General features: G+C 42.2%; 1 protein-coding gene across 13 annotated transcripts in view; it reads left to right on the top strand.

The window, feature by feature from the left end:
- Positions 1 to 18,171, top strand: part of FTCDNL1 (formiminotransferase cyclodeaminase N-terminal like) — a 187,358-nt gene that overhangs the window by 85,726 nt on the left and 83,461 nt on the right. For 7 of the 13 annotated variants that reach the window (XM_024452869.2, XM_047444164.1, XM_047444171.1 and 4 more), the window contains one exon: positions 4,632 to 4,928. The exons of 4 other annotated variants lie outside the window; for them this stretch is intronic. In XM_024452869.2, the coding sequence (XP_024308637.1) occupies positions 4,632 to 4,654 (23 nt within the window). In that variant the 3' untranslated portion in view covers positions 4,655 to 4,928. Of the gene's footprint in view, positions 1 to 1,794; positions 2,650 to 4,631; positions 4,929 to 18,171 lie in introns of those variants that run through there. 2 more of the 13 variants (XR_007074202.1, XM_024452858.2) reach the window with 2 other exon arrangements.

The raw sequence follows: 18,171 nt of genomic DNA, 5'->3' as shown, positions 1-18,171 counted from the left end.
TACAAGGCTGAAGTAAAGGTCCATATTATTACTATTATTTTGTAATAGACTTTATTTTTAGAGCAGTTGTAGCTTTGCAGGAAAATTGAGCACTAAGTACAGAGTTCCCATATACTTCTTGCTCCCCTGCTCCCAGCCTACCCCATTATCAACATTCCCCCCACAGAGTGGTACGTTTGTTACAATTGATGAACCTACATTGACACATTATCATGTCAAGTTCATCGTTAACATTCGGGTTCACTCTTGGTGTTGTACAGTCCATGGGTTTTGACAAATGCATAATGGTATGCAGCCACCAATATAGTATCTTACATAATAGTTTTACTTACCTAAAAATCATCTGTGCACTGCCTATTCATTCCTCCTCATGTTATTTTTTGATGTTGAATATTTTGGGATTGAATTCCCCCTTGCTGATCTTGAGATGGGCGAAAGAAGGCCCACATACTCAGGTCCTAGTTGTGGGCTGTTTACCCATGAGTGGCACTGAGGTTTACTATGAGGCACTCAGACCACTAAGTCTGTACTTAGATGACTTGAGAAAGCTTCACAATGGCTGTGTGCGAAGGTCTGAATGCCTGGGTCAGGGGGAGTAGGGAAGCGGGTGCAGGAGGAGAGCTGGGGCACATGACACAGGGTCTTGGAAGGTCCTATTTGTGCAGAGTAGTCACAACAGAAAGCTCATCTGGATTCCAGGTTTCACATGCCTAGGGGCACTGTGGACATTTTCTTTACAGCATTCTAGTAATTCTGCTCCGGTAAAAGGCCAGAGTCCTCCGATTTCGCTGGACTCAGGGAAGAGGCAGCTTTTACTACCTCTCCAGGCATTTCACAGAAGAGTCCTGACTCCTGCACTTACTCAGAAAGCAACTTATAAGGTAGGAAGTAGAGAGAATCTGGCCAAATAACCACTGTACTTTATGAATATTCATGTTCCAATGTGACAAAAATGAAGGCTTTGGGGGAGCTGAATCACGAATATTAGCACAGCATATGACTTTGGTGATAGTCTAAGTGGCAGCATGGTACAAACGCTAACAGAAGGCCCCAGAGCCGGGCTTCCTGGGTCCAGAGTCCAGGTCTGCTGCTTTGTCATCTGCATGATTTTGGGCAGGTTACTTCACTTTTCTCTGCCTCAAGTTTTTTTCATCGGCAGAATGGGGGTAATAATAGTGCTTGCCTTGTGAGTATTAAACAAAGTAATGTTTTAGTAATTTGGTAGTGTTTTAGTAACTTAGCCATGTTTTAGTAATGTGTATCCCTTTGGAGATTGTCTAGTGCACAGTACGTGCCATGACAATATTTGTTAAATAAATATTCCAGGCCAGGTGCAGTGGCTCATGCCTGTTATCCCAACACTTTGGGAGGCTGAAGCGGATGGATCACTTGAGGTCAGGAGTTCGAGACCAGCCTGGCCAACATGGTGAAACCCCGTATCTACTAAAAATATAAAAATTAGCCAGGTGTCGTGGCAGGCATCTGTAATCCCAGCAACTCAGGTGGCTGAGGCAGGAGAATTGATTGAACCCGGGAGGTGGAAGTTGCAGTGAGCCAAGATTGTGCCACTTCACTCCAGCCTGTGTGACGGAGCAAGACTCCATCTCAAATAAATAAAATAAAAATAAAAAATAAATATTCCAACATTGTCATTTGACAGATGAGGAAACTTCTCTTAGACATAATTTACTTCAAATTTTCACAGGGATTTCACCAGTCTGACTGTAAATCCTTAAAGTTTATAAAGTCTCTGATGCCAGAAATTTTGAGATTTTTCTTCTTGGCATTGAATAGGGGGAGAGGTCCTTCCCTATGAAATAGTCTCGGCATTCAAATCCCCAAGTTGTCTCATCCCTGGACAGGACTACCAGAAACAAGTAAGAGCTCTGGCAGATCCAGGCAGGAAACACAGGTGGGTAAGTGGGAGCTTGGGGAAAGGTGAGTAGGGAGCTGGGAGGAGGCTGAGGAAGGCTTCATTATTTCTTCTATGAAGATCCCCAGTGAACCTCCAGGTGGTGGGGGCTACATAAAAATATTTAAGGCAGGGAATCCCCTGTCCCCTCCCACCCTTGTAATACTATATCAGATGTGTTTTGGGAGAATGCAAATCACCCACATTGTAAAAGGCTCTGCAAAACTTGGTGCACACTACAAGTCACGCTGGGGGAGAGGACAGTGTGAACGCTCAGAGCCCCTGGAGCATCCAGCAAGGAGCCTGGTTTTCCTGCATGGTCTGTGGAATCTACCTCATTAGTAAGGGTGAAGCCCTGGAAACCACTGGAGCATTGTCATCTCTGCATGACGTCTCTATAATTGTAGTGACTTAGAACCGGATGGGCCCTGAGCAGTGCTTTTTGGTCAGAAGATAGTAATGTGTTGTTACTTAGAACTAGATGTATTGAGAAATGTCTCTTTCACTCCTTCACTTTTTTATAACTCCCTGTTTAATTGACTGCATTGAACATGCATCTCATGACAAGTATGTGATTTCTCTAAGTGATATTACAAAGCAGAAAATGTTAAGATTGACCCCAAATGTGTGCTTTTATGTTAACACTGAACCTTGCATTTTACAGGAATGATGTTGTCCTTGCAGTTTTCAGGATGCTATTACCTTATCTCACTTGATTGTTATATATAACCTATAAGGTGAAATATGCTACTATATATAAATGTACAATTATATGATAGATATAACTGTATATGTGATATAATATATATGACATAGGCAGATTAGTTTCTTATTGCCGTTGTACAGATAAGGCACCTGAAAGTCAGAGTGTATACTATCACACAATAAAGGGTAACATTGCAAAAACTCATTCATTTATTCATAAATGAATTATTTATTTACTTGTTAAATATCCATTTGTGCTATTTTACTGGGCCAACACTATCTAAGTTCTGGAGAGACAGCAGAGAACAAGACAGAAGAGACCCCAGTTTTCCTGGAACTTATTTTTCAGTAGGGGAAAGATAAGCATTAAACCAAGCTTGTCCAACCCATGGCCTGTGGGATGCATGTGTTCCAAAATTGCTTTGAATGCGGCCCAATAGAAATTTGTAAACTTTCTTTCTGTTTTTTTTGAGACAGAGTTTCACTCTTGTTGCCCAGGCTGGAGTGCAATGGTGAGATCTTGGCTCACCGCAACCTCTACCTCCCAGGTTCAAGTGATTCTCCTGCCTCAGCCTCCTGAGTAGCTGGGACTACAGGTGCCCACCACCATGCTCGGCTAATTTTTGTATTTTTAGTAGAGATGGGGTTTCACTATATTGGGCAGGCTGGTCTCGAACTCCTGACCTCATGATCCACCCACCTCGGCCTCCCAAAGTGCTGGGATTATAGGCGTGAGCCACCACACCCGGCCATAAATTTGTAAACTTTCTTAAAACATTACAAGATTGTTTTTTTTTCTCATCGGCTATCGTTAGTGTTAGTGTATTTTATGTGTGGCCCAAGACAATTCTTCTTCTTCCAATGTGGCCTAGGGAAGCCAAAAGATTGGACACCCCTGCATTAAACAAATAACTGAAAGATAATGTGAGATAGTAAACAATGTTAAGAAGAAAATAAAATAGAACAACTTTTGATCAGGTTCTGAGGGCGGCTTCTGAGGAGGTAAGTGACCTGAGGCTTGAGAAAAGTCAGAACAGACATGTGAAGACTTGGGACTGAGCACCCCACATGAAAGTCACAGAAAGTACAAAATCCTGAAGACAGGACCCAGGAAGACAGCATGGCTGGGGTGTAGTGGATGAAGATGTTGGGGCTTGGGATTTTACCCTACTTACAAGCTCATAAATTAGCCTGTTACTATTTCATGGATACCAGAAGATGACATGAGGCTCCTGGGTTAGGCTCATAGCACAGCCAGCAATATTGAGCATCAGGTTTTCCTCAGTTTCATTTGTCTCCAAAGTCCCAGGAGGGCAACAGATGGGCCAGGTGGGAGGCATGTACTCACTGAGATGTGTCCAGCTGAGAAACATCGAGATCAGGAATCCACTGCTCTATTTATGGCAAGTGGGAAGCAAGATTGTTCTTTTTGTCTTGGAGAGAGACGTAATCTCATCCAACCAGCCTGGGTCAAGGGTGGCCAGAGTCTTGCATTTTCGACGTACACAGTGAGAACAGGCAGCATGCTCAGGTCCATGGCAGATCGCCTCTGCCAACAGGGACAGAGCATGCAGAGAGGCAGATGTGGGTTGTGCAGGACCTGATGTGGCCCTGGCTGGGATTTATTCAGGAGTGGCATGAGCCTTCATTTACCAGTTGCTGTCATTACACCAGAATATTCATGGATACCTGCAGGCTTCTTACTCTGTGCAGGGAGCAGTCAGGGTCCTGGCAAGAAACTGATGGAACATTCAAACGATTAACTGAAAGAGTAGTGAAGGGACTACTTACAGAGGCGTGGGCTGGGTCAAAGGCACCAATAAGTGAGAGCAAGTGACTTAGGGATCACTGTCACCAGAACCCAGAGAACGTGAAGCCTTGGAAGACAGCTGCCAGGTAGCTACTGTCAGCCAGACAGTGAAGCAAGGAAAGGAATGGGGGTTGAGTGGAGAGGGGTAAGGCCTCAACCACTCTTTCTCTTCCAAATACTAATCTCTCCTTCCCTTATTCCCAGTGGACAAGCGCAACCAAGCCTAAAGGCAAGTGCTGTTGCGAGGTCGACATCCAGGAACCAGAGGAGGGCAGAGCAATCCACAGAATGGATCTGGGGTGACTCATGGAGGAAAACCAACACACAGTACCATTTAATTCTTTTTAAAAAGATGGAAAATTATACCATACCCAGAATTACTAAATTCTAAATAGAGGGTATATTGCATTTACATTTGTAAAAGAATGTTTCCCCATGTATCTTTTAAAAATTCATTTTAAAGATATACAATAAAAAGTGTTTAACTCTGTTTTTCAAAAATAATTTGTTTATAAAATTGGACTGACTCACCCTCTTATATACAAGGTGTTAAAGGCATTTGTGTTTGTTTGGTTTACACTCCGGAAGGAGCCCTGGCCTAAGGGAGAGGAAAAGTAGATTCCAGTCCCAAATTTGTCATTAACTGGTTGTAAATGACAGGGTTGTCAATAAGCTCTGAACCTCTTTCCAGTTAACTGCTATGTTTGAATACTGCATATGATCAAGAAAGCAGAACTTTCTCTCTGTTATGGGAAAGTTGGGTTGGCTGAACTTTGTAATTAGCTTTGCCTTACTGTTTGGTTTTTAGTAGAGTTTTTTGTTTTTTTTTTTTTAGTTCTGATTTAATCAAGATTCTTCCTTACGACTCCCCCGCTCCACCCCCAGAATTCTGGTTTATTCAGATTTCTCTATATCTTGGTCAAAACAAATCCAGATTCACACATGAAACAAGTTCCTAATCTTTTTTAATGTTCAAAGGTGATATACGATATTGAAGATATACAGAGTGATTGACATAAATCCCTACTTTTCCTGTTAGAATCAAAACATGATACGATCATTATAGCTCTTTGGCCTGACACCATCTATATGCCCAATACAATTACGAGCTGTCCACATGCATGATTATTGTCTGGACCAGTGCATTCTGCTAGGATGGTGTGGCCATGTTGTTTATGTTCACATACTGATGCTACTGAAACTAGGGACCTAAAGATCCATTTAAATTCAGATCCCTAGAAAACTTTGAGAAACAATTGGTTTTATCAGGTTTCTAATGTTTATTTTAAAAATGAGCTTCTCACAGCCACAGCAATATTTAAAGGCAGGGTATCTCATGCAAGTCATTTGTCCTATGATGACATGTGGAAGTATTATCATTATTAACTATTTCTTCAAAGGACAAATACAGACATAGATTTAGATATACACATACATGTTTCTGTTTATTGCTTTGGTTAGGTTTATTAAGTGACCTGATTTTCACACCAAGACTCTTGGAAGAATCATAGTATGATACAGCTGAATAAAAGGACTTCGGGGTTAACTGGCCTAATTCCTCTGTTTGGCAGGCTAGGAATCTGAAGTCATGGAGGCTGGGACTCCCAAGGTAACACAGCTAGGTGGTCTAGAATCCAAATCTCCTAACTCGCAGGGAGTGCTCTTTCTTAAAATTAAAAAAAAAGGAAGACAAATGTTTTCACAAATAATACCTATATGAATTTTTGTTACAAAAAAAAAAACAACAAATGATAAGGAAAAAGCCATAGTTTTCCTTGACCACCATCCTAATCCCAGTATTTTCACCAGAATTAAGCACATTTATCAATTGGTGTATCTACTCTGGACTTTTTGATGAGTGCTGCACACACACATACATATGTGTATATATATATATACACACACAAATATATATACACATATAATACATATATATTACACACACATACACAGATTTACATGTAGAAATGTACATTTAGAAATGTATGGCTTTGTTTTGTAGTTTCTTTTTTAAAAACAAATATTACACTGTACATTTTGTTCTTCAGTGTTTTTCTGGATCCACACATATCTACCCCATTCTTTTAAACTCTAGGTTAATTTTTTGTAATATGGTAAGCCATGGTAGATGATGGACAGTTAGCTTGTTTTCATTTTCCCTCCAGTACAAACAATGTTTTGACACAGTGCTTCTCAAAATTTTGTGAGCATCAGAATCCCCTGAGGGGCTTGTTAAAATAGATTTTTGGGGCCCATCTCCACATACTCTGATTAATTTGTTCTGAGATGAAACCCCTACCCCATTTCCTACAAGCTTTCAGGGGATGCGTATGCTAGTGGTCCAAGAACCTTACTTTGAGTTGTGCAGCTGTTATGGGTATCAATGCATAGACTTCTTGTATACTTGTGAATGGTTTTGCATGGGAGCCAGTGGGAGGGAAGGATTTGCTGGGAGATGCGGTGTGTGCATTTTAAATTTATGGATACTAAGAAATTATCCTCCAAAGTGGCTATACTGATTACAATCACCCCAGCAGTGTATGAAGTATGAGGGTCTTTGTTTCCCCAGTTCTTTTTTTTTTTTTTTTGGTGGGAATGGCCTCTTGCTTTTCCCTGACCACTAATGAGTTTTATCATAATTTCTTAACTATACAGGGCACCTGAATCTCCAATTCTATGAATTGCATATCCATACCCTGAGTGTGTTTTAAAAATAAGTTATTTGTTTGTTTTCTCATTTATTTATAGCAATTTTAAAATAAATATTTCATATATTAAACCCTTGCCTGTTTTATATGTCTGAAAATTTTTTTTTTCCAGTTCTCTTTCCTCTATACAACGTAGTTATTACTTCCCTCCTAATTTTATAATGTTACCTGAATGGTACTGGTCCCTCTGAGGATCATAAAAATTCCAGAATAAAACATTATTTTCCTTTTGGACCCCCAGCTCACACCCTGTGCCTGTTTTGCTGAATGTTGGCTAGTGATCAGCGAATTGTGAGGAACTCAAGAAAAGGAATAGGTTGGAGACTTCCCCAGCCCCCTTTAGCCAAGGATATTCCACTGTGGAGGAGCACCCCAAATGAATTAAGGAATAAGACTCACATATGGAATTGAAATAAAGCAACCTCCATTTTGTCAAAAAGGAATTTCTGTAAGCTCCTGAGTAAAAGTTCTTCTAAGCCACTTTGACATAGGATTATTCTCTTTTGACATATTATAAACATTAAAGAAAATTTAATGCCCATCTGGACAGTTAGTTTTTGCCAATTGCTACCACCACCAGCTGCAAAACTACACTGACTACAAGCCATCCAGCTGCCATGCATACTCCATGCCAAGAGAGAGCAAGCTGCCAACACTGCTTCAAGTGGCTGGGCTGGTTTGCAGCCAGGATTTGAGGGAGGATGTGCAGTGAAACACAGGAGTCAGGACTAGGATTTTCAATGAGTGTTATTTGTGTTTGCTTTTTTTTCTGGTCATCTACTGTGGGAGGCTGCTGGGGACACCATCCCTTTCCTGGAAATGGCAGCAAAACATGTTGATCCTTCTTCCTCTGCCTTTTATGTACTTTCTGGCATCCTTTGCATTCACATTCTGCTTACACGCCATCATTAGCTGGAACCGCCTGGAGCTGCAGAAAATGGTGTCATCTCTCCAAGACTGGGTTTCCCCAGCTCCTAATCTCTCTCCCCATCTCTAGTGGCACCCCTTTCCTTGGATTTTTTTTCCTATTTGTTTGGCATTTATTTTCTCACAAAATAGCAAAGAGAAACTGCTTCCCCAGCTCGTGTTTTCCTAGAAGGGTTCTTATATTTGTGTACTTGGGTCCAAGCACTCCTGTGTTATGGACTTTTCCCCTCAACAAAGAGGAGGTTCTTCTTCCTTCCTTTTAGGCACAAATCATTTTCCTGTTTAGGAGGTAAATTCTCCATTGACTTCTGTAGTAGATTGCATTAGTGTTTGCCAATTATTCTATTTTCTTTCCTAGTCGTGTTCTTTGTGGGAGGTTAGATTATTCATGCCCTGCTTGTTGAAGTCAGGAGAAACCATGTGATTCACTTTGGCCAATATAATGTGGGCAGAAGTGATGTGTGTGACTTTCATGCAGTAGCTTTGAGAGCCAGCTTATGGTTTGAAATTCCTCTTTCCCTGTGCCAGAAGAACAGCCATGTCCAGATGGAGACTGCTCCATCAGTCTGGGCTCTGGAATGAAGAGGACATGGAACAGGGCTGCAGCTGACCCTGGATGCATGTGCAACATGGGTAAAAATAAAACTGAGTTGTTGAAAGCCAGGGGGATATTTGGAAGTATTTGTTACTGCAGCATAACCTAACCTGTTGTGACCGATACAACCTCCTTTCCTTTGTACACCTACAATAAAATATCTAATCAACATATTGAGACTACATAGTAGAACATGAAATGGGAGATTTAGGAAAGTTATCCTGAAAACTAGGCAGTGCTGCTTGCCTGCTAATGTGTATTTGGCCAGGTTAACATAGGACTTTAGAGTGTGAAAAATTATAGGGATCTTTGAGCTCTTCTAATTAAGTCACTGTGTTTTGCAGTTGAGGAAATTGAGGCTCAAAATGTGAAGTGAAACTCTTCAGTCAGCCCGCTGGCTGGTGGAAGAAAATGGCCCAGAGAGGAGGATGCCAGGCTCCCACCCCCACGCCCTTTCACCCACACCTTCTCCTGAAGTGTTAGCTTAGTTAGCGTTGAAGAAAAGATTCATAAATAAATTGAGAAGATTCTTAAATAAAATTGTTCTATCACTTTATTTAAAGTATGTCTCACAAGCTTAATAATATTTTCACCTATCCACTTTAAAATCCAGATTGTCTCTCATTACCTGCACTACTGTTCATGTTGAGGACACCTCATATTACCCCAATGAAATGCATATTTAAAGAAGTAAATTTACTATAAAAGACAAGTATAAGACTTTTCTTTTAGTCACTGTTCCAACATACCCATATTCATAAACCTCTTCATTTTACCACACAGTTGAGAGTTGACTCTATGTAATTATTTTTCCAAATCAGTTAAGCCTAATTTTATTTTAGAACATGTAAAGTGGTCAGGTCACTTCCCAGAGAGCCCTCTTATTCTGTATATTATTACTGCTTCATAATAACAGAAGCTAATATTTATATCATACTTACCGTTAGCAAAGTGCTGTTCAAATGCTTTACATCTCTTTAAATGCTTAATCCTCGCAGCAAACATGTATTATCATCCCTTATTTATAGATGAGGAAATGGTGGCACAGAAAAGTTCAGTAATTTACCCAAGTTCATACCATTAGGGAGTGGCAAAGCTGGGATTTGAACCTGGGCAGCATAGGTATACTGCTCCTGGAATGACCGTAACGATGATAATAATAAAAGTAACAATAGCAGCAGCAACCACCATGCACGTATTAAGATACTGCTGTGTATAGGGAATATGTACCATTTTGTGTTCATCATTTGTAATCCCTAAACTATATGTTTTATTGATTTAGAAAACTGAGGCTTAAAGACATAAAATGACTTGCCCAAGATCACATAAATGGTGAACCTAGAGTTCAAGGCTAGATGCATCTGCTCTCCAAGTCTGGCCTTCCCTCACCTTGCCATTCTGCCTTTCATGTCTTCTCCACAAGAATGCAGTGAGACAGACTGAAGGAGCTGCTTTTAGCTGAGCAAATTTGTATTGCTTTATGTATCAAATACACTGGGTAGCTTAATAGTGAGGTCCCTGTCAATGGAAATGTAGACTCTAAACAGAACAGATAGATACCTACTTATCAAGCCAGTGATGAAGGGGATACAGGCATCAGATGGGCATATGAACCAAGTACCCAGTAATGTCCACTCTTGCCTTAAGGCTACAATCCTTACTGCCTTTCTCTGGAAGAGTTGCAATCATTTCTCCTCTTTTGGAGATGTGAAATTGAGGTTCAGAGCAGCAGAGTGCTTCAGGCTGCTTAACTCTGAAGTTAGTTGTGGGGCTCGTAGTAAAACTTGGGTCCTTTAACTCAGAGATTACACTCTATATGATGGATTTCACAGTTTTGACCATCTGCTAAAGTCATTTGCAGAGATTTCCAAAGCTTGACTGGAATTTTCTACCGCTAAAAGTGTTTAAACTGTTATTCAAAAGAAATGTTAGAAACATATATATAGTTTAAAATTATGTGTGTGTTTTACTTTTTAATTAACGGCAACTAAGGAAGCAGCTACAGAAGGATAAGGACTCACTTGGTAAATCACTGCATAACTAAACTGCAAGGCGCAGTCATGAGGTTCCGAAGCCCCCAATCTGTGAACAACGTTCACAGGATTCACTCTTGTGGGAAGAGTCTGCCCTTGTTTTGACCCCCACACCTCTAGGATGGGAGTGGGTAGAAAAGTTTAAAGCCCTGGAGACTCTCTAGGAAACAACTTGTATCAGTTAAGATATGGCTTAAAATAACGACTTAAATAAGATGGAAGTTCTCCCTTTCTTGTGTGCTAGTCCAGGCATCAGTGTTCCTGGTCTGGTGTGGTGGCCTCCTGGTGTTAAATGGTGGCCTCCTGGTGTTAAAGACTAGACTCCTCCCATCTGCAGGGCCACCAGCCCTGATATGCTGCCTCTAACCCATCCTCCAAAGTCTTTACCATCACTTCCACAGTTCAGCCCATGGACGTGGAAAAAGGCACTAGGAGGGGGCATGCCACTTCCCTCTGGGGCATGATCTGGAAGCTTCACACATTCCTTCCGCTCCTCCCATGACCCACAACTTGGCCCCATGACCACACTCAGCTCCAAAAGAGGCTGGAAAATAGAGGCTGTGTTCTGGGTGTCCGAGTGCCCAGCTACGAATTGTATTATTTACAGAGGAAGGGAAGAATGAATTGTGGGGGACAATTTTCAGGCTGTGCCACACTTCTGCTGTCTCTGCTGCGTTCTCTCTCCACTTCCATGAGAAGGCCCTGAGGCCCTGCTCTATCATAGCCCGGCCAAGTCACTGGCACTTTTGCCTCTAGATAAAGGCCCAGGGAGTCTTGGAGGGGCAATATCTCCAAGGAAACACAATATTCATTAATAAATAACTCATTAATGTAGTTTTCTTGTTAACTGTAGAAAGATCCAATCATAATCCACAGTAAGAGTGTTAAATTCCCTTTTCCCTTCTCCCTGGTTTTGTATCCTCAGATCCTTGGAGGAGCTTCTCACCAGCTATTCCTCTCCCCACAAATAATCTCTGAATATTCACCCTCAAATGGCTTTCTCTCTGACCTACCTCTTCATTTTTTAGTTATGTATTTTAACTAAAGCTATCTCCCTGTAAGGAAGCATCTCTCCTCTTGAGAGGCAACAAACCGAAGGGGAGAGGGTAAGTGCAGGTGTCCCTTTTCCAGCTGGGGATGGGAGTAGAAGTGAATGCTGCCATGAATTCCCAGTGACAGTGACCACGCTTGTTCCATCACATTGGGCTCCCCATGTGTATTCTCCGATTGTGTCCCACATGGAGGTAGCCAACATAATTAAAAATATATATAAATCAGGATAATGTCATTTCTCTGCTTAAAGTTCTTCGTTGGCTTCTCACTGTAACTGGGGAAGATGCACTGTCCTCAGCACCATCCTCGGCAGGGCAGCCAGGCTCCTGTACAGCATGGCCCTGTCCTGTGCCTGTCCGCTGTCCCCTGCTGCACCTCCTCTCGATCTTCCTGCCTCCAGCCTCACACCTGCTGCTGCCTCACCTGAAATGCTCTCCTGCAGCTTGGGAAACTCCTATTTGTTTTTCAGCTTCTCTAAAATGTTGGCTTTTTGGAGGTGCCTTTCATGACCTCTTATACCTCTTATAACCTTATACAGGGTTATTTCCTCTAATGGGACACAGCAGCTATCACCACATACCTTTATATATGTGTCTTTATTTAATTGCTGAATTATGTCACTAGAGCGTAAGCTTCAAGAAGGCAAGGCCCCGTTTCACTCCCCACCATGTGCCCATGGCTTAAGCACTGCTGGAGGATGAAAGTCTCCCTATAAGCTTCTTATTTACTTGTGGCACTTATCGTCAATGAGACAGACCAATTAGATACACTGCTGTGTCAGACGAGAAAAACTAAACTCACCCTTTCTCAAGGCTTGCTAAGCCCCAATCACTTTCATATCTCATATACTTCTCTCTCTCTCTCTCTCATTGTCTGTCTCTCTCTCTCTCTCTATCTATATATCTCCAATTTAGTTGAAGACCCGAATACACACACACACATACACACACACACACACACACACACACACACACACACACACAGAGAGAGAGAGATAGTATATATGTATATACTGAAAGCAAGAGAGAGACACAGAGACAGAGACATTAATTTTAAGGAATTGGCTTATGTGATTATGGGGGCTGGCAAGTCCAAATTCTGCAGGTTGAGGGAGAGCCGATGCTTCAGTTCAAGTCCAAGGCCATCTGCTGGCCAAATTCCCTCCTGCTTTGAGGAAGACAGTCTAGTGTTCTATTCAGGCCTTTGACTGATTGGCTGAGGCTCACCTACATTATGGATGCAATCTGCTTTACTCAAAGTCCACTGATTTAAATGTAAATCCCATCCAAAAACACCCTCATAGAAACATCCCAACTAATGTTTGACCACATATCTGGGCACTGCAGCCAAGCCAAGTGGACTCATAAAATTGACCACCACAGGGTGTAAATTTGTCCACTCAGGGAAGAAAAAGTTTCAATGTTCTTTTGAAAACAAGGATGGTCCCCACACAAAGAACCTAAGTAGTATCTGGGAATGCTGTGGGGTGGGGAGGGAGAGGGGAGGCAGCCTCAGCTCCAGGGAGGGTTGGCTGTGCCTGGAAGTCGAGGCATCCTTGAAGAAGGCAGAAGGAGACAGGTGAGAAGGAATCACAGGGGAGGAAGCTGGGGGAAATAAGAAGGAGAGAGAGAAGCTCTCTGGGTTTCCATACTGCCTTTGGGCGCATCATTCTCTGACTGTCTGTGGACAGTCAGTCTGCCCCCTCCCTTCCTCCGTATTTAGTGATCCACCCGTGGCTCCCTGCCACTAGGTTTATTTGGAAGCAGTAGATAAATGTCAGCACTTAGAAGCTATGAAATGTCCTAACTGGCCCCCCAAGACTAATAAACATAAAAAAAAAATCCTGATTCAGGCAGCCTGATGGGCTCATTGGTGAGAGGGAGATAAAGTTTCCCTTCAGGACATTTATAATTTACATAATAAAAAGCTTTTCACCTACTAGTCAAGGAGCAAAATTAATTACCATGGCCCTGTTACCTCGCGGAACACTTTTTGCTTAAACTGGCAGGAACAGTTTGTGAACTCTTAAATGAAGGGTGGGGGTGGGGTGATGTTAGCATGCAGTCGGGCAGAGAGAAGGGGAGAAAGGCGCCCTGCAGCTCACTTCACAATGTTCTGGAATGGGCTTTTGAGGAGTGGGGGTGCTCTGCCTTTAACAAAGACGGCTGTGCCTGACCTGTCCTTCCAATCCATTCCCCACCAAATATGCACTAATGATAATAGACTCAGGCAATCTGAGGCTCTGTAATCACCTCCCCTCGGACAGATGTTGAATGGACAGTCACCAGAAGGGTTGACTCGATCATAGCCTTCAGTCATGTCTTGTCCTCTTCTCTTTTGGGCATCATTTCAAATAACAAATAGAAAAGCTGGTGTTCCCGTGTCCCTGGTTCTGAAGATATATGGACAGCCTCAAAGTCCTTTGATTAGGGAACCATATTTGATATCCATACAAGGTCTCTCATTCCAAATTCATTGAGCTCTTCAGAAAGCTGACAGCATTAGCCTAATATCATTAATTATCACCACACTCCTGTGAGGGAAGCAGGTGGCCTGCATTATTTTGCTATTTTGCAGATGGAGAGACAGAGGCGAAGGGAGGTTAAGTGTTACGTCCACTTTCCACTGATGAGCTGGGAATATAATCCAGTCTCAGGTCCGCAAGGTTATAGGGTCTCTCGATAGATGGGGGAGGCCCAACTGAGGGTCTTTGGAAAGCAGGTAGGAGCTGCGAAGATAAGGATGGCAAGTCAAAGCCCCCGCTCTTATGAAAAAGGAACAATTATTGCTTTAAGATTCATTCTTAGCTGTAGCAATTATAATATGACACAGAATTATAAAAGGAAAAAGCAAAGGATGGCATGGCAAAATTATGTTTTTCATCTCCTTCAAGCCTGGCTTCCTATCTTAGATAAAGAGAATATCAACAGACAAGTAAGGTAGCTACTTTCATTCAAAAGTTCAGAATTTGAGGGGAGAGCAGGATGTGTGGACAGAGTCCGCCCGGTGGAAAGCCATCCATGGCGGAGTCTTCAGGGCCCCTACCTGGCTCTCTGATTCACTTTGGCTTCTACGCTTCCTCCCCAGATTTGCATTTTCTTGGTGTTTTCTAGAACCTGGTGTCCTCAAAGCTGCAGAGCATCAATATTTCTTTCTCTTCAGGCAATGATTAAGTTAAGGTCTTCTCAGAACCAGTTAGGTGTGGGAAGGGGGCAAAAATAAGTTCAGTCAAGTTGGAAACAACCTTTTCCCCCCTGACTTGGTGTGTTGGATATTAGGAATAAATTGACCAATGAGAATTATAGGATTGACCTATAGAGCAACTGAGATTTGCAATTTATTTATTTATTTATTTATTTATTTATTTAGACAACATTTCTTTCTGTCACCCAGGCTGGAGCGTAGTGGTGAGATAATAGCTCATTGCACCCTCCACCTCTCAGGCTCTAGCAATCCTCCCACCTCAGCCTCCTGAGTAGCTGGGACTACAAGGCACATACCACCAAGCTCGGCTAATTTTTGTATTTTTTTTTATAGAGAGGGGATCTTGCCATGTTGCCCAGGCTGGTCTCGAACTCCTGGGCTCAAGAGTTCCACCTGCCTCAGCCTCCCAAAGTGTTGGGATCACAGATGTGAGCCACTGCACTCAGCCTATTTTTTAATTTAAATTTAAATTTTTAAATTTTTAATTTTTGGGGGTACATACTAGGTGTGTATGTCGGTCACCTGAAATATTTTGATACAGGCCTGCAATGGGTAATAATCACATCAGGGTAAATGGGGTGTCCATCGCTGTGATGTCTTTTTGATGTGAATATAAGATGGAAGCTGTAGATAACTGAATTATGGATCTACACTGGAAAATATCATGTGCTGTTTCTGGTGGAAACCACACAATGCTCATTCATGTCCTCAGAGACAGTAGAACCTAGTGAGGGAGCACTTGGGCTGTGTGGCTGTATTGTGAGCCCACCTCGGCCGTGCCTGCTGGGTGCCCGTAGGCAGCTCTCTCATCTGTAAAGTGAGTACTACGAAAACATGCACCTTCTAGAGTTTTTGTGAGGACTCAATGAATCAGTCCATGCAAAATGAATAAGATAGTGCCTGGTACACAGTAAACACTCAAATAAATGTTAATACTTTCCATTCATAATAGCTGGCAAATACTCTTTTTTTTTTTAGGGGGAGATGGAGAATTTATTTCGTATGTGATTTAATTAACAAATGACTAGTCTCATTTGCAAAGATGATCAAAACAGTGAGTTCAGTTGTGTCATACTCTGATTATTGGCTGGTGGGTTAGTGGTCCAATTGAGTTGATTGTATGGTAAAAAGATATTGCTACCAACTTTTTGCAAAACAGTCAATTTAGTCAGTTCATAGAGACCTCACTGCCATGATTTCCTTTAGCCATGTATTTATTCCCACACATCTATTCATTCAAAAACCATTAAGCATCTGCTGTCTACCCCCTCAGGAACTCCTAGGCTGGAGAGAAGAGACAGGCAGGTCACACATGTTGTCATTGTGAGAAGGGCCAGGTATGTGCCCCAGGTGATGAAGATGCCCCTTCCGTTAGGAGACAATATCTAAGATGAGGCTTGATAGAGAAGTGGGAGTTAGCCAGGAAAGAAAGAGCCCTTCAGACGGAGGAAAAGCAGGTGCTCCCCATATAGAACAGGTGAGTCTGGATTGGCAGGTGCTTGGGTGGAGGGGCTGAGAGAGTCCAACTTCTGCAAGGCCTCCTGTGCCCTGGGGAGTGTGGACTGCACCTTGTGGGCCAGAGGGTTTGGGAGGCAATGGGGAGCAGGAGAGGTGAGCAGGAAGGGGGCAGAGGAACTCCTCAGAATGAACCAGAGAACTTTCCAGCTCCCCTCTCTCACATCATGTCAGAATCCAGAGGGACGAAGGGCAGTTCCTGTAGAATTGGTGCAAAGTATAAAACTTCCCTGGAGAGATTCTAGTAAATTCCCTTCCCTCCACTTGATCCTTTTGACTACCTTCCTTGGTAATGGAAGTCATGGAAGGATTTAGGCAGTGCAGGACACACTCAGAGGTGCATGTTAGAACTATCGCTAATAGTATAGATAACGGACTGTCTCACAGATCAGGGGCTGATTAGGATGGGATTGATAGTGCAAACTCAGGCAGAGGGGCTCAGGTGTAAACTAAGTAGGAACCATTTAGAAAGCGACCTGTCTTTGTGGCACCTTGAACACAGGGATAAGGAAAGAGGTGGCTTCATCTGGTATCATTAACTAAGGCAGGAATACAGGAGAAGAAGCAGTTTACCTTTTACTTGAGGGGCTGGTAAGACTTCCCCATGGACATACTTTGGTAACATAGTTTTCAAAAAAAAATAGCTATGTAGTTTAGGAGAGAGTTCTGTCTTAAAATCAGTAGCTTTGTTTAAAAGTCCTAGCTGATCTATATGAATATGGGAGATGACTTCATCAGAATTTTTTTCTCAAACTCTTTCCGTAGTATGTATAAGGATGATCATGTGCAGGACAGGACGAATGAGTTTCCTTTTCTTATATGGAGTATATTCTACATACTTTCATACTTTCATTGAATTATTATATTTTTTCAACTATTGCACTGCTCTCTTTGACCCTACTTTTTCTTCTTTAAAATTCTTGTTTACATTTCAAAAGTTGACTTCGTTCTCTTTTGCAGGTTAAAGATTGAGGGATAAAGAGGACTGGGGAAAATAAGGACATTGTAAAAGTAAGTGGCAGAATTAAATAGGGAGGGAAAAGAGAAAAATCTAATAATTAGCCATCCAACATCAAATGAAACCTAAAACAGAGGTTCCCAGGCCAAGAAGGGTCTTGGGAAAGGGGAAGAGAAGAGACTGAGTGTACTCATGTTGATGTTCTTTTCTTGTATAAATTTTAAATCAAATTTGGCTTAGGGTTTCTGGCAAAGCAGACTGTGCAGAATGAGCTGGAAAATGGAGACTTCTTGCTTGCTACTTTTAGCTCTCACCATTCTGCTGGTTCAGACGACTTCTCACTGGGTTCAGTGTACGGCAATGAAATGCAAATCATAAACGATGCGAGCTGGCCTCCGGGGAAAAGGGGTCCTGGATGTGATCCAAGGTCTGTAACACAGAGAAAAGACATATTTCTTTGTCACACACAGTAGATTCTCCCCGAGGGTTTTAGCGATGGGAATAAAATGATTGGGAGGGGGGTGGGTTAGTGGTAGTGGAAATCATTACAACGTTCTTCTCTCATATGAAAAACCAAACAAAAACAAACCCTCTGTGAGTGTGAACACAGACAGGCTCGAGGCCTTGCAGCCCTTCTTCACAGCACACTCCATATACCATAGTTATTACTCCAGGCCGCAAAAATGTGTGCGCCCCTACGACCATGCAATAGACGTATATCCATGTATTTATAATGCGATCTGACCTGGGG

Source organism: Homo sapiens, chromosome 2, assembly GCF_000001405.40.
Source record: "Homo sapiens chromosome 2, GRCh38.p14 Primary Assembly".
NCBI classification, from domain to species: Eukaryota; Metazoa; Chordata; class Mammalia; order Primates; family Hominidae; genus Homo; species Homo sapiens.
The sequence above is the reverse complement of the archived record's forward strand: the minus strand, read 5'-3'. Positions and strand labels throughout refer to the sequence as shown.